At 37.8% G+C, this 25,312-nt stretch overlaps 1 protein-coding gene across 5 annotated transcripts in view; it reads left to right on the forward strand.

Moving 5' to 3' along the window:
* The window catches only part of PPM1L (protein phosphatase, Mg2+/Mn2+ dependent 1L), a 322,672-nt gene that overhangs the window by 91,040 nt on the left and 206,320 nt on the right, over window positions 1-25,312 (forward strand). Inside the window, exon 1 of one of the 5 annotated variants that reach the window (NR_134243.2) lies at window positions 23,328-23,376. The exons of the other annotated variants lie outside the window; for them this stretch is intronic. The gene's annotated coding sequence lies outside the window, so the exon portion shown is untranslated. Of the gene's footprint in view, window positions 1-23,327; window positions 23,377-25,312 lie in introns of those variants that run through there. 5 annotated transcript variants of the gene reach the window in all.

The raw sequence follows: 25,312 nt of genomic DNA on the forward strand, positions 1-25,312 counted from the left end.
AGTATCAATTTTTCCTAAAAAATTTAGAGAAGAACCAATATTTTATATTAATTTTAAAACATTGCTTAATGTAAAAAATAGATATAGAGTGGAATGAAGAATTTGCCTGAAATCAATGCAAGATTTCAAATAGATATGCTCAATTGTGATCTCAGCTGAGAAAAAATGAAGTGAAAATAGAGTAGAATAACGAATTTGCCTGAAAGGAATGCAAGACTTCAAATAAATGTTGTGCTCAATTGTGATCTCAACTGGTAAGTGTGATCTCAGGAACCCTTCTGCCCTTCCTAGTACATATTTTCTCTTTGCCAGTAGTGATGCTGCCTTGGAAATACCTGCAAAAACTGCAAAGTTCTGGCTTACCAAACCAAACACACACACCCAGGGACATACCAAAAACAAAACAAAACAAAACAAAGCAAAAACCTCAGAAACAAAACAACCCAACAAATGCCCAAGCCTTATTTCCAAATCCTAAGATTGGTATAAAACCACTCACAATATGCTAAACTTCTCTCAGATTGGGACCAATATTGGGCCTTTTCCAGATTCTTCTTGCCTGGAACACCACCATGCTTCCTGCCCAGACTATCAGATCACCACTCCTTCCTCGGGTCTCAGCTGTGAAATTTCTGTACAAGTTGCTATGTTCCCTAGGCATTGTGTTTCTGACTCTGTCCTCTGTTGCTGGAATTACCACAGTGAATTATTATGGAATGGAGGGCAGTCTGATTAGGCATAGAGTACGATGGTAATGGATGTATATTCCTTCTTAACTGCAGACTCCTCAAAAGCAGGGTTCATCTTTTACTCATCTTTATATTCTTGGTGCTTCCTATTGCTCCCGACACATAGTACATATTTAATAAATGTATTCTGGAATTAATGAATAAATTCTGAATGATAATAATTTGTGGAGTATAGTAATGCAGATAATTTTATTTGGGCTTAGTAGTTTGTTGTTGTTTTGTATTTTAGAATAAATGGTTTTCTCATATATCTTATTCCCTTCTTAGTACATCCCAGTAAGACTTCTAGCACCCATCAGTGTACTGAAACTGCTCTTGCTGGGTCAACAACAACCCAGGGTCCAAATCTAGTGGACTTTTTTTTCCCGTTGCTTTCTTAATGGAGCTTTCCATTGCATTTGACACTATTGTAACTTCTTCATTTTTGAAGCTCCTTACTCTCCTACTTCTGAAACAGTGCCCTCTCCCACATCTTCTTATATCAACTATTACATGTCAACAGGCTATTCTTCTGGCTGCTTCTTAAGTGTTTGTTAGTGTCCGCAGGTTCTATCTTCCACTCTTGTCCTTCTCTACCTTGCACTGGGGCATCTCCCTCTGTAGTCTCCCTGTGTCTGTTCTGTGACCATAATCCTTAGATTGGGGTCCTTAGTTCAGTTCTTGTGTGAATATTCTTCTCATCTCTGCAGCTGCCTCCTTGGCATTGCCACCAGAATAGTCCAAAGCTTCACAAATGTTTTATGTCTAAAATGAAATTCCCCTTCTTTCCTGCTAAACTAGTTCTTCTATTAACATATTCTTTCTCTCATTTTATGAAAGTATACCATCTACTCAATTACTGAAGCTGGAAATCTGGCAGTCCTCTAGGATCCTTCTTCTTTACTTTCCCCTTCAAATTAACCATGAAAACCTCTCATTTTTTTCCCCTGTGTATTTCACAAATTAATTTTATTATCCAAAGCGATGGCCTTCTCTCTCCAGTACTACCGCAGGGTGGAGAGTGCATATGGGGAGTGGAGAAACTGACACTATCTAGCCCAGTGACCTCATTTTGAACCTAGTAATCCAGGACTTGTCAGTTATATGGGCATATATTAAACATTAAATAATTGGTGTTTTCTGGTCCTGGCATTTCCAGAAGCACTCTGTCTTTTTTTCACAGCTACACATGCACTATTTCTTGGTTCGTGCCTCATAGTTCCCCTGCTGGCCTGTCCTGCCCTAGGATTCTTTGGATTACCCTAGACCTAGAATGACTTGGGTCTTTTCCAGAGCCACATTAGGGAATGTTCTCCAGAACTTCTTTCACATTCAGCATTCCCTGCATCCAAGTAGCAGTCAGAGGACTCTGGCATGGCCAGGAGACCTGCATTCTCTTTCTTTCTTTCTTTCTTTCTTTCTTTTTTTTTTTTAAGATGGAGTCTCGCTCTGTCGCCCAGGCTGGAGTGCAGTGACACAATCTTGGCTCATGGCTCACTGCAAGCTCCACCTCCCGGGTTCATGCCATTCTCCTGCCTCAGCCTCCCGAGTAGCTGGGACTACAGGTGCCCACCACCACGCCCGGCTAATTTTTTTTTTGTATTTTTAGTAGAGACGCAGTTTCACTGTGTGAGCCAGGATGGTCTCGATCTCCTGACCTTGTGATCCGCCCGCCTCAGCCTCCCGAGTATCTGGGACTACAGGCGCCCGCCACCACGCCCGGCTAATTTTTTGTTTTTGTATTTTTAGTAGAGATGGAATTTCACTGTGTGAGCCAGGATGGTCTCGATCTCCTGACCTCGTGATCCGCCTGCCTCAGCCTCCCAAAGTGCTGGGAACTTGGGCTGGAATCCGGGGATGATTAGGAAAAACAAGCCATGCCTTGTCTTCCATACACTCACACCCAACACTGATACTTCGCTTCTGGCCACTAAAATATGTGGAGGTTTTTCCTACACAGCCAATTCTCTGACACCAGCTGAGTGTCTTACAATTCAACGCAGTTCTGACACTATCTACCCACAGGTTAAGGGCTCAGTCCCACAAGACTGCCCTTATTTCAGACACTGATCACAAGTCCAGATTGTCACTTACACTCCTCACCTACGGCTATCAATCAGAGGTTCCCATGAGTGTGTCCTTAGGTTTGATCATTTGCTAGAATGGTGCACAGAACACAGGGAAACACTTTACTTATGTTTACCTGTTTAATACAAAGGATACAACCCAAGAACAGCCAGATGAAAGAGATTCATAGAGCAAGGTCCAGGGGAAGCACTAGATTTGGACAGTGGGTTGTTGTTGACCCAGCAAGAGCAGTTTCAGTACACTGATGGGTGCTAAAAGTCTTACTGGGATGCACTAAGAAGGTAGCATTCCTAGCACCTCCATGTGTTAGGGAAGCTCTCCAAACCCTGTCTTTTTGGGTTTTTATAGAGGTTTCATTAAATAGTCATTGTTGATTAAATCATTGGCCATTAGTGATTTAGTCAACCTCCAGTCCTGCCCCTCTCCCTGGACTTTGGGGGTTGAGGCTGAAATCCCAACCCTCTAATCACATGGCTGGTCCCTCTGGCAACCAGCCCCCATCCTGAGGCTATCCAGGAGCCTCCAGCCACCAGCCATCCAATAAGTATACAAAAAGAAACATCATTTTGGAGATTTCCAAGGGTTTTAGAAGCTGTGCACATGGATACTGGGCAGAGACCAAATATATATTTCTTATTATGTCATGGGCAATTACCATTTTCTCCTGGGCTGGCAGGGAATAGGTCTGCTTAGCCAGCTCTCAATCTGCAGCTCCATGTCATGACTCTACCATTGATTCCATAGAGGGAGAATCTTATTTCACTTTAAGGATATTGCTTCTTACTCTTTTTTTTTGGTGGGGGGGGGGTCATTATTGTTTTTCTCTCTTACAGTTTTTTGGTCATTACTGTTTTCCCATACTTGTCAGAGAGTAATCCCCCCACCCCACCTCCCTGTTTTCTCTCTCCTGTCAGTCCCAGCACTCTCTAAAAGACATGCTTGTAAATACGGTCATTTTTATACCTTTTTAATTTTCTTCCCTCTGTCACAAAAGATTTGAAATATTATACCACTGTACGACCAGATAGATGTTAAATTTCACTTACCTTATAGGCAAGAGTTTCTTTTTTAAACAGGATTGTGGGGTGATAGGATCTCATTGTTTAGAAAACCAGAGGGGTAGCTCCTGTTGTCAGCGATGATTAAAAATTAAAGGTAGTGTCTGCTTCTGATTTATCTGTATTTACTTAAGCAGATGTGTTTTTGATTGTCTATCACCTAGGGCTGAAAAAAGGGCACCAAATCAGTGATTCTATTATTTTCTTTGAAAAGTTGAGGGCTATGTCCAAACTTGAGGCCAAACTATGTTGAAAATAGGTAATTTAAATGCCTGGTTTGTTAGGAGTAAATTACCGCTGCCAGTGGATTCCGTGGCTGCTTGGCAGGGGTAATTTGCTTCATTGCAGTGTTTTCTAGTTGAGGTAAATTATTCCTTTTAGAAAGTTAAATCTTCGTAGAGAAAGTAAACATTTCATCTTTGAGAAGGAAGAATAGCTTGTTAAAATATTGAAAACATTTATTGAACATCTAACATGAAGCTTTGACGGGAAGAAAAGAGATACATTTTAGAGAACAAGACTTTTTACCGAGAGTATGCCTTGAGTAAAGCACTTAGTAGGGGCATTAGTTATCTAGAGGGAAAGATCCGATACTTGGGGAATGAAGAGAGAGGCAAGCCAGGAAATGGGAAGGAAGGAGGAAGGTGGAAAGGTACCCAAGACACATTCTGCTGTTACTCCGTAGTGACCCTTTCCGAAGCCTGTATTTCCTGAGCCAAGACCTTCCATTGTCTTTCAAATATCAGGCCTGGTTTTGCTCTTCATAGGAAATGAGTTCATTGTTTTTGACGTCCTGTCGATTTTTTCCCCTCAAAGAGTAGATAATTAGAACTTTGATGAAGAAAAGGTCCTATGTTCTGTTTTATACATAATCATTTTCTGAACCATCAAGTGTAATTCAGCTTCAATCTTCAGGGCGAATGAAGATTACTTAGGATGTATTAAACTGTGTGAATTTAATGTTCATGACAAGTGTTTCATAAAGGAAGATGCTGGCTATTATCTCTCCTCAGAAGGAAATTGTTGATAAGAAACCATTCTGAGAAGTAAGATTTATGGCAACATCAGAGGCTAGAGAAGCTGGGGCAGCTGAGCACCCAGGACGATCAGGACAACTAGGACAATTCAGTTTTTCTTGTGCTGTCTTTTGTGTTACAAAAACAAAAAAAAATAAATTTTTATATAGCCTCACTCCAAAAGCAATTAAGGAAAATATTTATTCATTAAAAGCAATGCTGTATTTTAATGAAGCATGTTAATGTTTGACAGAGATAGTTTATTAAAAAGGGATAGCAGTGAGAGAGCTTTCCCCCTTTTTATTGTTTTTCCCCTCAAATAAAATCCTTACATTTGAATAATTTATTGATTCAGGACAGAGTGGGTTGGTAATTTTATCTTGACCTCATTCATCCAAAGAACCATATAACCCAAATACAAAAAGTCAGACTCTTATGCTTCAAAAACCAATGCTATTTAAGTAAATGAAGTTAATTTAACTCATTCTCTTTAAACAAACTGGCTGGAAGGGTCAACTTTTCAATGACTGTACAATCAGCAACTATGCTTTTAATATCGTACTTTTCCAATTGTATTCTGTGGATGGTTGGTCATCTCTAAAGGTACTTCAGGTCATTTACTGTAGAATTTATGTTTATAACACTGTATTTTATTTCTTCTAGAGTTCACCAAAAGCAGTGTCATTTCATCTTTTAACTGAAAACAGATATTCTTTAAGATGTTAGTTTCCTGTGGTTGCTGATATAAATTATCGTAAACTTGGTGGCTTAAAACAGTGGAAATTTGTTTTCTCACAGCTCTGGAGGCCAAATTTCAAAAATCAAGGTGTCGACAGGGTCCCACTCCATATGAAAGCTCTAAGGAAGCATCCATTTCCTGCCTCTCCAGCTGGAGGTAGCTTCTGGCATTCCTTGGCTTGTGGTTGCATGATGCCAGTCTCTGCCTCTGTGGTCACATTGCTTCCTCCTCTTTTGTCTGAAAACACCCTCTGATTGCATTTAGGGCCAAACTTCTCAAGGCCCTTAATTTAATCACTTTTTCTTTTTGGCAGTGGGAGGGAGCATATAAAGTAATAATCACAGGTTCTGGAGATTAGGACATATACGTAATTGTTTTGGGGGCCACCATTCAGCCTACTACAAATACTTTATTCTTTTTTATTGCTCCATAGATTTAGAATGTTCACTCTACCTATCCTACCTGTATTAAGAATATATCATCATAATCTTTCTAAAATCCCATGTAGATCTAGATAGAGCAGAAAATACAAACTTTTCCCTTTCCCAGTAATCAACCTACATTTAATTATTCATGCTATGATGGACTGCATAAATTAAAGAAAAAATAGAAAATCTGAAAGGGAAGATAATGATCTCATTGTTATTTGTAGTTGACCATGGTCAACTATAAAAGTATAAAAATACTAAAATTATTAAATGTCATATTTATGATCATTTGTTCACCTGAAGAGTATTGAATAATAAGGGGTACATTTGGGTTATACTGAATGAGTGTTGAAAATGATTGAAAATCATGAAAATAATTTATTTGGGGTTGAAATTTTATCAAATAAATAATCTATAAGGTGTATACATTATGAGCAAGTTAGCAAGAGTGTCTTGATACAAAGTATTGGTAAAAGAAAAGATAGTTCACACTGAGTTTGTTTTCAATTTAATTCATTTTTGCAGATGTCAACAAAATCTTTCACCTTTTTATAGTATTTAGGAAGAAGAGAGCATGTAAGGTCAAACTTTAATTAACTTTTCTTTGCCTATACTGGACTTTCCCTACACAAGTAGGTACTTATATTCTGATCACAAGTCCCCACACGTCGGTTGTAGATAGCAATGTCAAGTTAGTGCATACCCAGCTACTAAAGTTTACTGGACTTTCAGGTGTTCTTGGCATGCCAGGCAGGTGGTACCCAGTTATTTAGAGAGATCTTTCTTTCAGACCTTAGACATGTCTTTTACATATAAATTACTTAGGTACTTTGACCGCATCATGTGGTTCAGTTTGTTTTACAATGAAGACTAGAGCTTGGGGAAGGGTGGTTTTTGTTGCCCATGCTTACCTGAAATTCAGAAAACTTATCTTGAAGGAGCCAGAGCCAGTTGGTATATCTCTGAGAACTGTCCTTAGACTCTTAGCTGGGTGGTGTTTTCCTAGTCCTTGTGTAAAAGGATAAAGATGGTGGAATGTATAAGGTAAAGTGTTTTTAGGATATACGTATCTGGGTGCCACAAAGGGCATGAGTAGGGAACAGTGAAGGATAAGGGTGAAACCATTCATTGATCCTAATCATGGAAAGCCTTGAATACCAGGCTTAGAAGTTTGGATTTTCTCAATGTGCAAAAATCGGTAGCATTTCTATATACCAACAATATCCAAGCTGAGTGCCAAATCAAGAACACAATTCAATTCACAGTAGAGACACATACACACACACACACATACACACACATACACCCCTAGGAATACGGCAGATCAGGGAGGTAAAAGATTTCAATGAGAATTACAAAACACTGTTGAAAGAAATCAGAGATAACAAACAAATGAAAAAAACATTCCATGCTCATGGATAGGAAGTACCAGTATTGTTAAAATGGCCATATTGCCCAAAGCAATTTACAGATTCAATGCTATTTCTATCAAACTACCAATGACATTGTTCAAAGAATTAGAAAAAAACTATTCTAAAATTCATGTGGAACCAAAAAAAAAAAAAAAAAAGAGTCCGAATAGCCAAAACAATCCTAAGCAAAAAAAAAACAAAGTCACAGGCATCACATTACTCAATTTCAAACTATACTACAAGGCTATAGTAGCAAAAACAGCATGGTGCTGGTTTAAAAACAGACACATAGACTAATGAAACAGAATAGAGAACCCAGAAAAAAAAGCTGCATACCTACAACCATATGATCTTCGACAAAGTCAACAAAAACAAGCAATGGAGAAAGGACTTCCTATTCAATAAATGATGCTGGGATAACTGGCTAGCCCTATGCAGAAGACTGAAACTGGACCCCTTCCTTTCACTATAGATAGAAATCAACTCAATATCAATTAAAGACTTAAATATAAAACCTAAAGCTATAAAAACCCTTGAAGAAAACCTAGGAAATACTATTCTGGACATAGGCTCTGGCAAAGATTTCTTAATGAAGACACCAAAAGTAATTGCAACAAAAAGAAAGATTGACAAATGGGACCTAATTAAATTAAAGAACTCTGCACAGTGAAAGAAACTATCCATAGAGTAAACCAACAGCCCACAGAATGGGAGAAAATATTTGCAAACTATGCATCTAGCAAAGGCTAATATCCGTAATCTGTAAGGAACTTAAATTAACAAGCAAAAAGCAAACAACCCCATTAAAAAGTGGACAAAGAGCATGAATAGACACGTTTCAAAAGACACCAATGCACGGCCAACAAGCACATAAAAAATGCTCAACATCACTAATCAGATACAAATCAAAACCACAGTGCGATACCATTTCACACAAGTCAGAATGGTGATTATTGAAAAGTCAAAAAACAACAGATGCTGGCGAGGTTGTGGAGAAAAAGGAACACTTATACACTGCTGGAGGGAACGTAAGTGTTTCAGCTACTGTGGAAAACAATTTGGTGATTTCTCAAAGAATTTAAAACAGAACTCCCATTCGACCCAGCAATTCCATTATTAGGTTGTATTAGGGTTCTCTAGAGGGACAGAACTAACAGGATAGATGTATATATAAAGGGGAGTTTATTAAGGAGTATTGGCTCACACGATCACAAAGTGAGGTCCCACAATAGGCTGTCTGCAAGCTGAGGAGTAAGGAAGCTAGTCTGAGTCCCAAAGCTGAAGAACCTGGAGTCTGATGTGTGAGGGCAGGAAGCATCCAGCATGAGAGAAAGATGTAGGCCAGAAGACTAAACCAGCTTAGTCTTTCCATGTTCCTCTGCCGGCTTTTATTCTGGCTGTACTGGCAGCTGATTAGATTGTGCCCACCGAGATTGAGAGTGGGTCTGCTTTTCCCAGTCCACTTACACAAATGTTGATCTCCTTTGGCAACACCCTCACAGGCACACCCAGGAACAATACTTTATATCCTTCAGTCCAATCAAGTTGACTCTTAATATTAACCATCACATTGGTAAACCCAAAGGAATATAAACCGTTCGAAGATACATGCATTCATATGTTAATCACAGCACTATTCACAATAGCAAGGATGTGGAATCAACTTAGATGCCCATCAACCATGGACTGGATAAAAAAATTGTGGTATATATACAGCATAGAACACGACACAGGCATAAAAAAAGAATGAGATCATGTCCTTTGTAGCAGCATGGATGGTGCTGGAGGCCATTATCCTAAGCAAACTAATGCAGAAACAGAAAACCAAATACCACATGTTCTCACTTATAAGTGGGAGCTAAACACTGAGTACACATGAACACTGAGAAAGGAGCAGACACTGGGGCATACTTGGGGGTGGAGAGTGGGAGGAGGGTGAGGATTGAAAAACTGCCTATCAGATACCATGCTTATTACCTGGTGATGAAATAATCTGTACATCAAACCTTCGTGACATGTAATTTACCTGTATAACAAACCTGCATGTGTACCCTGAACTACAATAAAAGCTAAAAAAAAAAAAGAAATTCAGATTTTCTTCTTTCTTTGATTCTGTCCCTCTCATTTAATTCTTCTCCCTATTTATTTCACCTTAGATGGCAGTGGATTTATTCAGTTTTTGTAGTTGATTGTTTAATAGTATTTTAGTCTCTATAGTTTTAACCAAATTTCTGAAACTTCTTTCCAGAAGTATATTTTGATGTTTGATTCTAACTTTCCTATCCTTTACTTGCCAAAAGCAACAAACAAAAAACCCAGATTTTAAATTGTAAGTTTCTACCACTTTAAAAGAAAGAAGTTAATATTCTTGATGTTACACTTCTTTTTAAAAAAATGCCTTTTGTTTCCAGGAAAAATACGGAAATTTTTTTTGCTTCCAAAAGGTCATGGTTTCTTCCTTCTAATTACATTCTTTAAAATTCTGACAGTGTGGGCTTTGCAAATTATACCATCATAACTCTTGAATGTGCTTTTCATAAAATTCAACACATTTTATCTTTAGCCTCCGAAGTCCTTATGACTTATACCATTATTCATACAAACTACAGGTTTAGAATCAAGTAAACAAAATTCCTGCTTTAATATACAACTACAGTTGTTTTTTGGTTGTGTTTCTGGTTGGATAATCCAGATCAGACTTTGTGACTAGGAGCTGTAAGTAAGGTGGCTGCCTTAAAATGTAATGCAAAAACAGTCCTTTTTAGTCTTTTTGTCTTGTGGCTGGGACCATATGGTTTTCTGAAGTTCATATGTATAATAGTCCTTTTTTGTGTGGGCTCCATTCATTTATATTCTACTGTTTATTGTTTATTCATTCTTTCATTTTGAGTATCTATTCTATATTAGTCTTGTGAATATAGAAATGCAAGGCATGGTGCCTGCTCTTAAAGAGGTTAAAGGCTTATGGGAGAGGCAGGCATATAAACAAATAATTACAGCCTAAAATAATAAATGCTATTGTAGCGGTAAGACAAAGTCCTTCTTGTGGCTTAAACTCTCTAGCCCACATTCCCCAGCTAATTATTTTCTTCTGTGGATTTTCATCCTTGTCTCTCAATCTCTTTTTCAGATATATGCATATCCATATTGCTTACTTAATCTTTTCTGCTTCCAGGTTCCCATTTTGGGTGTGGAAGCCTTTTGCAGTGACTGTGTCCTGTCATGACTCTTTTGGTAGCCCTCTCCAGTATTCCAGCTTTGCCTTTAAATTTTAACGGAGAGAAAAATAATGTATCTCATTCTTGGTGAAACATTTAGGCTGTTTAGTTGACATTTGAAATGGCAGAGTCTATTGTTCTAAAAGGAAAATTATCCATACTGTGTAATGTGGACTATTGATAGAATATGGAATCAGGCATATCTTTTTATGTATTTATGAAAGTAAAGCAGTGCTTCCATTTTAGCACAAATAACTTTCAAAGCAAAGTTATTTAAAATTTCTCTTTTCTTTTCTTTTTTTTCTTTTTTCTTTCTTCTCGCTCTGTCATCCAGGCTGGAGTGCAATAGCATGGTCTTGGCTCACTGCAAGAACCGCCTCCCAGATTCAATTGATTCTCCTGCCTCAGCCTCCTGAGTAGCTAGGATTGCAGGAGCCTGCCACCACGCCCAGCTAATTTTTGTATTTTTAGTAGACACAGGGTTTCACTGTGTTGGTCAGGCTGGTCCTGAACTCCTGACCTCAGGTGATCCACCCGCCTTGGCCTCCCAAAGCAAAAGTTATTCACTTCAAGTGCAGTGAATCACAATAAATCTTATTTCCTTATTTTTATATTTGTTTTTATAATGAATGGGACTACATTACCCTCAATAAAAGGTGGACAGTTTCACCCTTTACTTATTAGTTATATTTTGAGTAAAAAATACAAGAGTGTTTATAGAGTGTTTACTAAAACAATGAAGCACAGGTAAATAAAATTCAAGAGTATCTACATGGGTGGTATTAATTTACCTGTTTAAATTCTGAATGAATTACTAAAAGCTTGAGATATAGTCCTAACTCTCTGACTTCAGTTTCCTCATCTATAATAAGATGTTATTATGGTAGACACTTGTTTTTTCTGCTCAGCTTCCATTTCTCCCTGTACTTGAAAAAGTTCCTACTTTCAAGTACTGGGTCCAACCCAGTCTGTTCCCTTTTATCCAGGAGTGAGCATGTGACCCAGCCTAGGTCAATGAATCTATACTTCCCGTGGCCACTGGGGTAGTTAGGGTGGGTAGGCAACCCAGAATGGATGGATCAGAAGTCAACTTCTGGGATTTGTCTGGAACTATTAAAGAAGATGCTTTTTTCCCTATAATATTCCTAAGTAAGTAGAATGGAAAGGTGGAATTGTGGGCAATCTGCACATGGAGGTAACTAGAGATGGAGCCTATATGGAGGAAAGCAGACCCTATCTATGCATGAATCTAACACTCCCTTTTCAGGTGTTTCTCCAGTAAAGGCTTTTTTGATTGTTGTTGTTTTCTTATGCCAGTTTGAGTTGTCCTTTATTATGTCACATGCAAATGATAGGATCCAGGCTAATTCAGTTTGGTCAGTTAACCTTTAAGGTCTTTCCAGTTTCTACATTGCATGATTCCTTGCCTTCTTTTATTTCATGCAAGTTAGATTACTATGATTGAATGAGGTTAGGCAAATAATAACTGGATATTCTCAAGAGGAATAGCTTCTCTATCTGGGAAATATCAGTGTATTTCTCATAGGAGTTGTCAAGAGTAATTGTTCTACATTTTGATCTTACTTGTGTTTATTTTATGGCATAACTTCACCTTTGACTTTTGCCCACCCCTGGTCTAGCTGTATTCACTCCTACTAGGGCATATAAAGTTAAAGAAAAGAATGAAATGCAAACATTGCTTGATATTAAAATGATAAGCAAAATTTATTTCCTTCTGAATTGTGTACACAAATGACCCCTTTCTGAGCCACCCTCACCCCTGGGTCAATATGTGCATTTTGTGAGGATAACTTTTCAGAACACTACATGAAAATTGAAACAAGAAAATACCTGGGAGCTGCCTGATAAAAGTGTATTTGTGAGAAGGTTTATGAGGTGGTGATGTCAAATAAGAACTTGGATGCGGAAGCCTCTGGTGAGTCCTGGCTCCACCCTTTATTTAGCTGTAACCTCGATCAAGTTCTGTAAATTTGCCTTGTCTTTCCAATGGTTGGGTTGCTGTGAGGGTGATGTGATATGAAATGTGAAGGCAGTTTACATGTCAAACCTGATGAAGGGCTGAAATTATTTAGGAATGAATGAGCCTAACTAATTTAGTGAGTGTCATTGGTGATTTGTAGAAGAAGCAACAGACTGGGAAACATTGGGAGATAAGATTACACATGTGGATAGTTTCAGATTTTAAAATCTGGACTGAGGAGTTTAAACTTGTTTAAAAATAAAGAAGCAAGTTTTAGTCACCACGTCCAGATGCCTTCCTCCAAATCATTTTTAAAACTTTGTTCTTTTCTTTTCATTCCCACAACCAGTACAAACTCCTGACTCACCTTGTAGATTCTAATATATTCCTCAGCTAACGTCCTGTTGCCACATTTATTGTCCTAAAAATAATAGACCCTAATTACATGAAGAAGGCAACTGAATGTGGTGCCTGACAGACTCTAGAGAATGAAACATAGGGATGTGTAAAAATGTATCACAAAGACTGGGAAAATGGTGGTATTATTAACAAAAGGAAGCAGATGGTAAGGGACCCACGATGAAGTAATAAGGCATCCAGCTGGCATCATTGCACAGGAAATTGCAGATTTAGGATTAGCACTTAGACAGTGGAATCCCTGTATGGATTTGGAAGTTACAAAGCCAGGACTTTATATCTCAAAGCATCCTGCCTTAGGTTGGGCTGCTATAATGAAAGACCATAGATGAGTGGCTTAAACAACAGACATTTATTTCTCACAGTTTTGGAGGCTGGGAAGTCCAAGATCAAGGTGCTGGCAGATCTGGTGTCTGATGAGGTTCCTCTTCCTACTTTGCAGGTGGCTGCCTTCCTGCGGTATTGTACAAGGTGGAAAGAGATCATTTATCTCTTGTCTCTTCCTATAAGGGCTCTAATCCCATTCATGAGGGTTTCATCATCATGACCTAAATACCTCTAAAAAGCCCCACCTCCAAATATCATCACATTAGGGATTAGGGCTTCAATATATGAATTTTGGGGGAACACAAGCATTTAGTTCATAACAGATCCTTAAGACATTGTCTGGCTTTGACTTTTTCAGATAAGAGCTTCAAAGTAGAAAGAGGTTTTTCATATAAGAGGTTGAAAGGTTCAAAGTGGAAGGTCACGTAGTGTATCATCAGTGGCGCAGCTGGGAATAAAACCTTTATTTGCTGACTCCAAGGCCAGTATTCTTTCGTTGCCACTGTGCAGCACCTCTGTGGCATTAACCCAAAGAGTACAATGGAAGTTGTATAGAGTAAGGATTATAATGAGAAGCAACTATGTGCTGGGCAGAATATAGTGTAATGTCCTACTGTTGCCTAGATACAACTCTGAAGATACTGATAGCTTTAACATGAGAAAGCCGAGATGTTAGATCATTTAGACAGGATGGATAACAGGGAAAAGCTAGATTATCAAGTGCTTGGCAGCTGATATAAATAAATACTAAATAATTCTTATGCCAATTGCTCTTAAAGGCATTATAGTGTAATTATTTATTTAGAACATGAATTTTTATGCCAAACAGTACTGTGTTCGATTTCTGGCTCTGTTACTTGCTCTCTGAGATGCCTTTGAGATTCAGTTTCCTAATCTGTATAGCGGGGGACAATAACAACCACCTAATAGGGTTGTTGTATGTATTGATGATGGTATTAATTTCCTACTGCTGCTATAAATTACAAAAAAAAATCTAGTGGTTTAAAACAACACAAGTTTGTTATTATGGCTCTGAAGGTCAGATATCTGAAAATGGGTGTTATGGCACTAACCAAGGTGTCAGCAGACATGTGTTCCTTTTGAAGGCTCTAGGGGAGAATTTGCTCGTGTTTTCCAGCTTCTAGAGACTGGCCAGTCTTTGGTGGTGTAGCCACCTTCTAGCAATGGCATCAGTTCAACTTTTGCTTCCATTGCTAGATTTCCTCTGGCTGATATTCCTGCTTCTTTCTCATAAAGACCTCTGTGCCCACCTAATACATTGGGACCACCTAAGTAATGCAGGAAAATATTCCCATCTCAAGACTCTTACCTTTATCACATCTGCAGAGTCCCGTTTGCCATGTAAGGTAATGTATTCACAGGTGTTAGGGACTAGGGCGTGGACATATTTGAGGGGGGGCCATGATTCTGCCTACCACACTGATGATGATGATGCTAATGAAGATGATGAGGAAAATTAGCTGCTGTTAGTATTTCACTCACTCCCAAAATTACTTTTAGTATTTTGTCAAAGAAAATAAGTTCTATCCCAAAACATGTAACAAGAGCAAGCCTGGCCTGATCAGGGGATTGAGCTTCTGATTTGATAAAAGCTTCCTCACCCCTTCAGTTGAAAGTGGTTTCCTTCAGATAGCTTCCTGGAAACTTCTGGGCTGTGCACATTAGTCCCTTTCAATTCAGGCACTGAAATGCTAGCAAAATGAAGGTATGTTTTCTGGAAACCAGCTATCAATCTAGCACAAGCGACTATTAGGAAAATCAAGGAGGTGCTGCGGGGATGTGGAATAGGACACCTGGGTTTTGATTTAAAGTAACTTAAAGGAATTGCTTATAGCAGAGAGTTAACATTCATATGGGAAATTTTGAGCAACCTGTTTGACTCAGGTCCCGGTGAGAGGGCAGTCTTACATAGGAGATGTACAGAAAGTTTTAGTCTCCATTCCTAATCCTAGGCACACGCACACACACACACACACACACACACACACACACACACACACAAAATTCTGAAACCCTAATACTGTCAAATCCCCAGTGAGTTTCAATTTTCAATGACAACTATGGATAAAAATGGTCATATTTAGGAGAGTAGGGGGGAAAAAAGCTTTAATAAAGTGGCAGCAGAATAAAATGATTATCAGTTTTTTAAAAGCACTAGTGTAAAGAATACCTCTCAGTTTAATTTTCCTTTTAATTTATTATAAATTATAGGTTTGCTTAGGAGAAAAATAAAAAATCAAACTGCCATTTTCTTTGAAAACACAAATCAGACAAATTGTTACACAGCAGGATCCTTTGCTAATTTTGACAGCCACTTATTCATTTACTAGCCTTTGTCCGACACAATACCTGTGTGGCTTTTATTTTTCCAGACTTTCCACTGACACATTTTCACAATTTGGGTGTTTTTGTCCAAAACGTGTCATGTATTTTGTCATATATATGACAAATATAAATTGGAATTTTTAAACTTCAAATAAAATACCACATTAAACTAGTGATTTTAAACTGAAGATGATAGAATTTTTAAAATACAGACTTGGAGACCACATTCAAAACACTTCATAGCAAATGAGAGGCCCTCAGTTATCTGGTCTTACCTCAGCTTTCTAGTCGTCTTTGTCACTTTTTCAGCCCCTGGGGTACTACTCAGTGCTGTCTGCCAGCCTGCTAAGTTCACTTTTTCCTGCTTAGCACTTGTTATTCCTCTTTTTCCACTAAATGCCTTTAGTTATTAAATTATTGTTTCCTACAGAAATTTAACTTCATCATTTTTGTTGTCTGGAGAAAGCTTTGTTGTCATCACTCAGTGGTGAGAAGGTTGACTTTCTCATGAAAGCTCCAACCCTAGGTCTTAGGTTTGATGTAAGTCATGTGCTGCTGTGGAAACTGTCTAGTGCCTGTACAGTGTGATCCGAAGTTACTGGACTGTGAGGGGGCAGTCTATCAAGTATGGACAGCTATCAAGTATGTTGTACAGTTTGATCTTTAACAATTTAAAATCAATATTGGGTTCCTTGGTCACACAAATAGCCTAGTTCTTCAAGTAAGCAGTTCTTTCTGCCTGAAACCTCATGTCCCACTGTTCTACTTGAGCACCCTTCCAGGTATCAAGGGCTTAATTATAGGGTATACATAGTCCCCTGCAAGCCCCTTATGCATCTGAAAATGCAGGTATGAACCTTCATTCTGAGAGTAAGTTAGCTAGTCTAAATGAATATTTGAGATGGAAAAAAACATCTAGATGGATATAGGTAGATGAAGTAACCCTGGGTAGGTAAAGAAGCTGATTTTAGCAGTGCCTGAAAGACTCTTGACAAAACACCTCAGAATCTACTTCCATTACTCAGAACATTTTATTAGATTTGTTACCACTCCGTATTGAATTGCTGGGGTCTCACTGAGTCCTTTTGAAAAATCTTGTCCCAAAAAGGTCTTAGAACCTCATTCTCCCTTGTCTGTCTGTTTTTCTTTTATTTTTTCTTTCATTTCTTTTTGAGACAGGGTATCACTCTGTCACCCAGGTTGGATTGCAGTGGTGTGATCACAGCTCACTGTAGCCTCCACTTCCTGGGCTCAGGTGATCCCCCGCTGACCTCAGCCTCCTGAGTAGCTGGGACTTATAGGCACTTGACTAATTTTTGTATGTTTTTTGTAATGACAGGATTTTGCCATGTTGCCCAGGCTGGTCTCAAACACCTGGGCCCAAGCAGTCTGCCCACCTCAGCTTCCCCAAATGCTGGGATTACAGGGGTGAGCCACCACGCCCAGTCACCCTTGTCTTCCTTGACTACCATCTGCTTCTATCCTAGAAGGAACATGTGAAAGGATATATAAATGAAAATTGGAGTTCCAGAGTAATTTATTTGTCTCCATTTAGTCATGTTGGCTTCAAATCTTTATCAGTTCTTTCACAGATATGTTTTTGAGCATCTGTCATTCACCAGGTGCCAGATATAAATGGATGAATAAGACATAAGTCTTGTGGTCATGGATAGCTACCACTACTGACATGGCACCATTTCCCCAAGAGATTCTTTCTGTTTCCAGAAAGGAGCCCAAGGCCCAGTCCTCATCTGGGTATTAGATAGAGTGCTTTATTTTCAACAGTAAATAAAGGGAAGATGGTTGTAGACATTTCTGGGTGAAGTGTTAGCCAAGATTTTCTAGGAAGTTTATATCCTATAAGTGGGTAGAAAAATTGGGTATCTAAACTTCAGATAAAAGTCCAACACTTTAATCTACCATGTGTTGTCTGCAGATGAATTCAAACCACTGAGGAAGTTTATACAGGTTAGTAAAAACTAGCAAAACAAGAAATGGTTTTTGAAAAAACAAAATTTAAAAATTCTATTATTTTTGTCCTGACTGTTAATTCGTTTCTAATGTATCCAGTTTTGATGCCAAATATCAGAAAACAGAGAGCTCAGGCATTCTGGGAAAGTCAATAATTGAGGCTAAATGGCTTCAGTATAATGACTAACCAGGAAGACTGACTTTCTAGAAAGATAAAGTCTCAGAGAAGACATGATCCAGATTTATGAAATCATGAAATATGCAAATAAGGCAAATATAAACATGTTCATCAAATCCTAGAAACATTTTAAAGCTTTGAAAAAGTAATTTTAGGGTAGATGGAAGGTCCCAGGAATTGTATTTTATTGTTGACCTTAAGGTCTACTCTATAGGATTGCTGAATATAAACTACTTTAAAAAATATCTTTTGCTATTATAGTAATTAGCCCCTTTGGGTTAATTTCAAAATTGTTCTGCTTAAAAAAAAATTAGTTGGCCGTGCGTGGTGGCTCACACCTGTAATCCCAGCAATTTTGGGAGGCCAAGGTGGGCAGATCACGAGGTCAAGAGATCGAGACCATCCTGGCCAACATGGTGAAACCCTGTCTCTACTAAAAATACAAAAATTAGCTGGACGTGGTGGCGTGCGCCTGTAGTCCCAGCTACTTGGGAGGCTGAGGCAAGAGAATTGCTTGAACCTGGGAGGCAGAGGTTGCAGTGAGCCGAGATCATGCCACTGCACTCTAACCAGGACGACAGAGTGAGACTCCGTCTCATAAATAAATAACTAGGTTATAAGACAAATTGGTCTTTTAGCAGAATTTTCAGATATAAGCAGGAAATTCTTTATTTCAGTGAGTGACATAGATTTATCCAGTTAATACTCATTAAGTAGTGGGGGTAGATTTATAGTAGGTTATTAAAAAACAAGTAATATTAAATATGTATCTCTTAGCATCAGAAGTTGTCAGGGAGAACAATTGTATTTTTGCCTTAGAATGTAGTTTTGTGTATCTGTCAAAGATCAAATAACCAAGTTGACAACTGACCTTACTCAGTAAGGCCTCTTAGGTTATCCTGGACCATTGAAGCTGCTGCAGTTTGTTTTTCTCCCCCTGTTAGACATAGGGAGTTTTTCTCCTGTCAGTGCTCAGAAAGGTACTTGGCTAATGCTCTTCTGAATTTCAGGAGAGGAAAGCCTCCTACTTAAAAAATATCTGCTGTATTTAGTACTATACAAAATAGTCATACAGACACACTTTCAACTTTTAATATTAATGGGGTGGTTTCACTTTATTCATTTTATAAATTATGAAGGTTATTGCAGCTGTTTGCTAGATTTTACCAGGCTCATGGTAGTAAAGCCATACATAGTCCATGAAAACATAACAAAACTTTACAATTTCATTCTGCTTTGTTGCAAAGATCCATGTCCCTTGTACATTTTATGACTTATTCACATTTCCTTTAGAAATACTCAACATTTAGGAACTTAATTCTTACTATTTTAGATAATAATGTGCTCATGATGAGAATAATAATACTAAAATAATGATATATATCATCACATAAGCATCAAATGTCTTTGAATTTGGAGATTTTCAGCTTAGAACCACTTTAATGGAGCTCTTAAAAGTCAAATGTGATTTTCATGGGACTGTACTAAGGTGTGATAATGGTAAACCATCTCTCCTAAGACAATTAACTCATTCCCCCATATATTTTAGATGCTTTATTTATGAAATATTTTGAGCAATGAATATGACATCTGATTACCTCTCTTTGTAATTCATAATCTCTTGGACTAATCTTTGGACTCAGTAGATTTCTTTCATTACCATTTTATGTATTTATTATTTTTTTGAGACAGAATCTTGTTCTGTCGCCTAGGCTGGAGTGCAGTGGTGCAATCACAGCTCACTCCAGCCTTGACCTCCTGGTCTCAAGCAATTCTACCTCAGCCTCTTGAGTAGTTGGGACCATAGGCATGTGCCACCACACCCAGCTAATTTTTATTTTTTGTAGGGACAGGGTCTCACTATCTTGCCCAGTCTGGTTTTGAACTCCTTGGCTCAAGTGGTATACCTACTTTGGCCTCCCAAAGTGCTGGGAGCCTGTATATATTCTTAGAATCAATTTATCTTACAACTTTTAAAAGAACTGAGAGGTAAGATGATCAGCAAATAATATGGAGTTACTGGAAATTATTTGATTGTTTTTTGAATTTTTAATGAACTCTTAAAATGACCTGTAGCCTTAGTTGATTTAACAGGAATCTTAAAATCAGATTCACATTTACTATTTTGGCCTGAAATGAGTTCCATGTTCTTTTTTTTTTTTTTTTTGCATTAGAGAAAACAGGCTTGTGAAGTTGTTTGTATTACTATCCTTTTTTCAGATTTTAAGGACATGTATCTAAGTGTTCATCTGGGTTCTCTAACCCCCTCCTCTATACTGTTATGGTGTTACTAAAATTTTATTAGTTATAAGTAACTTTACTTGACACTTTCTTCACATTTCCTTCCTGGCTTCCTTCCTTTCCCTCCTTTTTCCTTATATGCTTAAATCTGGAGGAAAATTTTGTTCTGAATTATATATTTTTTAATCAATATTGCAAACAGACAACTGTAAACCTCAAGTTTTTGTTAATGAAGTACTTGAAAATATGATTTTTTATTTTTTTGCTATTATGGTTAGAAAATAGCGATAATTTTTTAATGAATGGCTGGTGAAATGCAGCAGACACAGTGCAAGTTGGTGGCATGGTATCATTGTAAAGGTTAAACAGCTGTGCTGGAAAGAGTCATTTTGGTTTAGTCCTTTTAATTTGGAACTTTTTTGGCAGCTGAATTCCAGGACAGACTGTCTATGACACTTTAATATATTTAACATATTTTCAAAAACTATCAGAACTCAGGCTAAATAACCTAAACCACTTTGACTTCATACTGGGTTACATTTTGCTTGTTGAAAAAAACTTAAGTTGGTTTTTAAAAGAACAGGCTGGTCTGCAAAAAGGTGATGAAGAAATATTAGCCTTTGTTGGAAGTTGAGAAGTATTATATAAACCTTAGACTGATATTGTAGAATGGCTTCTAAGACTGAAAAATTGTAGGCATCCTGTTTTAATCCTCTGTAACCCAGCCATATGCGTCAAACTGAGCACTCCTAATACCTGATACTTAGAAAAAAGAGTAAGAGAGCTGTTTTTCTGTGTACAAATACACAAGTGACACCTAGTATCTATCCCTCTATTCCCCCAGCTCTGGTCTTAGGGAAGGGGGGTCCAGGCATTTTCCACCTGGAGAAGTAGGTGCCTGACAGCAGATGCAACATTGGTGACTTCCTGGACTGTGGCTTGTCTTCAAGGCACCCTGCCAAGACTTCGGTGTCGGGGGAACTAGAGAATTAGGGTAAAATTTCAGGGCCTCACCTGTACAACATGGTCATAACATTAACACCAGCTACTCTGACATCTGTCAGATCATTTATTTAATTAACATCCCTTTTCTCTGGGCCACCAAAGCAGGGCTGCTTTTCACTGGCCCATCTTCTTTGCATGTATTTCAATAAAAGTTTGGGGGCTATTGTTTCATTGTCATGTTTCCACCTAAAACCTAGTCTGAGGAATAGGGATCTACTTATTTTTGATGCACATGATTTATTTTAGTAAAGTGGACAGATTTTAATGACACTTAGGAACTGAGGCTTTTTTTTTTTTCAGTCATGGTTTTACTTGTAGAAAGCGATCTGTATTTTAAACAAAAAAACACTTAATCTTTGAATTGAAACACATTTAATATGACAGTTAATTTCTTCTTTTCCAAAGGAGAAAATCACAACAGAACTTTAAGAAGTCTCCTATGCAACTGGATACAAATATTGTTGATTCATGGAACGTGATGCCTCTGACATTAAGGGTAATAGTTATTGTTTTGGGTTTAAAACTTCAAGGTCTGGCTCCTCATTTTCAGGGAAGCCTCTTGTATCTGAATAGTGTTTCTGGAATTGTGCTTTGATCAGGTGTATAAGGACTCTGAACCAGGAATGCGGGCTTTACTATACCTGCTCTGAGAATTTGTTTAATTACTCAGCTTCTCTAATCCTTGCTTTCCTCATCTGCACGATGATATTAAATTCATGGGATTGTTATGAGGCTTCAGTGAATTCACGTTTGTGAAATCTAGAAGTACAATGCCTGGAACAGAGAAGATTCTTTCCTTTTCCCCTTTTCTCCAGCCTAAATTAATAACTGGACTTTTAGGAGCAGCAGCGTAGAGGTAGGACTATATGAATGTCATTACAATAATAATAACAAAACTATTTAGATATAAAATTTCCTGCCTCCTCTTTTGTAACTTTCCTATGCACATCATTATCCCTTTTCACTATTGTTTGCTCAGCTTTGGTGTGATTTGTAAAAGCTCCTGGTTATTAAGGGTATAAACCTTATGTTAGGCATAAGGCTGTAACCTTATAACCTTATGTTAGGCATAAGGTTGTAAATTTTTTAAAGTTTTCCTCTTAACAGTATATATGGTATTTTTTGTCATATAGAAATTTCAAGTTTTGTTTTTATGTTGTCAGGTCTATTGTTTTTTTCCAAAAATTGTATGACATATATTGATTTCAGAGATGTTAAAATGTGAAAAAACAAAGTCTTAGATTCAATGGAATAGAATAACAATCTTTTATAGGTTCTGCCTTTGGTGCAATGTATGTGTGTGTGTGTGTGTGTGTGTGTACAAATATTTGTAGGTATGTAAATTGGTCTCATTTTTTGTACTTAAAAGATATTATTGCAAACATGACTGGGTATGGGAATGTTCTCTCCAGCTAAGAAAACTCTAGGAAGAATGTAGTTGCATAGAGCTTAGAAGCCCTGGCATTTGCTTCAGGCATTGCTATGGGATGCTTTAGTCTTGGCTTGTCCGTTGTTGCTAGAATCACGTGCTGCCCTCACTGCTGCTCTTGTCCAGCTGCCACTGTTACTCAATCCCTCCTGATAGATATCTCTGTGGTAGCAACAATTCAAAATTTGCCCTGAGGACAAGGTTAGTATTTCTTGCCAGCACCTGCCACTTTCCCTTCCAGATCCTGACCATGGGAGAAGTGTGTGTGGGTGTGGGGGTAGGGGAGGAGGAGTTACCAAACCCTGTAAAGCAGACATCAAGGTAGAAGGCTAGAATGCCAGGTAAAGGCTCATAGGACAGAGTGCTATAACTACATCTTCACCACTATGACAAAGTTGTCCCACCCACTCTCCGGAAAAGAGTTAATGTTGGTTGAAGATCACGAAGCAGTTGTCCTCCAAAATGCCCCAAGAGTATTAGAATATGATAGAAGATTGTTTATTTGCTAATGAAGACATCAGAACTAGCCGAATGGTTCAAAAATAATTTTAAATACTTTATACATTGAAACAAATCAAGCCACTATAATAATTAGGAGCCCCTTGCTCTGGTGCAGGGCATAATAATCGCTAGCAAATCCTTAGTTGATGACATCACAGTAATCTGAGACAGAGAGGTGGGGACTGTAGTGGACACTTAAAGCAACATTGCTGTGTCTCCTTGGTAATTCATGAATGACAGTTCCCGGCAATTCATGAATGTGACACTTCTCGGTCATTTCTGTGTTTTGGCAGGTACTGGTGGCTTTAAAGCCAGGGAATCAAAGTCCTTAAAGTTGTAATTAATTTTCCTGAAGCTGATAATGAGACCTACTGCGATCCTTTCACATAAGACAGGTCTTTACACACAATTTATGAAAACAGAATAATTAATAGAAAATGATTTCAATTGTCCTCTGTAATATTTCATTGAAATAAATGTTGTAGAGTGGTTTTAGCTCTTGGCAAATCATGCAATAATAATAATAAAAGAGAAGACGGCTGTGTGGGAAAGAGTAGTTATTTTTAAATCTTGGTAGACAAATGGGACCTGCCCACTTGTCTATTGAGCACATCTCTGTAATTTCTCAGAAATTAAACAGCATGACCCTTTGATTGAATCCAAAGCTGGAAGTTTAAATAGATAACTTCAAAGTAATTGGCTTGAAATCCAAGGATCTATTCTGGGATGCTTTAGAAATTTTTATTCCCTTTTCACCTCAGCTTTAAAATATATATAAATGTCAAGGCTTCAGACTTTAAAACTGTTGCTGTTGTACTCCAAACTATTTTCTTATAATTGGCACTGTTCAAATCCTTTTTGGAACAGGATTTGAGCTTGAGTGAGAAGAGAAGGTAGTTTGGAAGAATCAAGAAGTATGTAACAGTGGGATCTAAAAATCTAAACAAAAAGAGGTTAAAGGGACAGATCTGATGTATTTCAGAGGAGCAAGAGTAGAAAGGTGATACATTATCAAAAAGGTCTTCATGCACATGAAGTGTTCTATTCCAGACTTAGGGGATTAGCTGTTCTTCATCTCTGCTAAGGGCAAAATAAAAGGAAATTATTTTGAGACAGAAGCATGAAGAGATTAAGATTAGAGAAGGAATACTTTAAAAATACATGTTTGTTAAACCAAGAACCTCAGCCATCTAAACAAGAGTAAATATGCCAATAATTCTACCATCTTCGTCTGATTAGGCTATGAAATCTTGAATCTTCCTTGGATAGCTTTTAAACTGATATGGAATGGTTAGTATGTTTTATGGTTATTTCCAGTTCTAAGATTGAGTGATCCACTTCATTTCAGCAGGCTCTGTACGTATTATGGACTTGTTTCCCTCTGTTTTTTCCTCTGTTGTCTCCTTCCTTTTTTTTTTCTTATTTTGTATAATATTTAAGAGTATTTTACATGTAGGTGTCATTTATAATTTTTTCCTTACTAAAGTATTCCTTTTTTATTATGGTTCACATTGTAATTCAAGTAGCATAATTATAACATTTTTATTGAGCAGAAAATGACCACTTTTGTATTTTAATTAAAGCATCTTTTTTTTAATTATTTATCTTATCCAGCAGTCATTGAACACTAAAGCTGTGTTATGTGCAACACAGATCTTCTCTCATTTTACCCAGAACAATCTTTTCCTGAGAAATAAGTCTTTGCCCAAAGCAAGACACTCCTGCAGTGTTGAAAGGTGATATGGGCTTTTAGTGTGCACTGTAGCTAACAGCTGGCAATCACTCACCGGTTTAAGAAGTACATGTTGGCCATTTTCTGTCAGTTTTTGGGGGCAAAGAGAAGAATTATCTAAATTTTGGAGGAGAAGGGTTTAGGGGGTTATTTATAGCATCCAGCTAGCCAGAAGAAATGAATGAACAATTCTTAGGTATCATTGACCCAAATATCTTTTCTAAAATAATCCATTACTATTTTCTTTCTTCTTTTTGCTACTTTTTTCTCCCTCTTTCATCCCTTTAAAACTTTGACAATAACAACAACTGATGCTCTCAAGCACCTCCCATATGCCCCATACTAGGAACTGGGGATATAGCAGTCAACAAGACAAACATGTCAGGTCCCCTGCTCTCAGGAAGTTTAAATTTTCTCCATTATTTTGTGCTCACTTATATAACAGGGAACAAACCAGAATTAAATTTTGATTGCATTTTAATTTATTGTTAAATGAT

The sequence above is a fragment of the Homo sapiens genome, chromosome 3 (assembly GCF_000001405.40).
Source record: "Homo sapiens chromosome 3, GRCh38.p14 Primary Assembly".
NCBI lineage: Eukaryota > Metazoa > Chordata > Mammalia > Primates > Hominidae > Homo > Homo sapiens.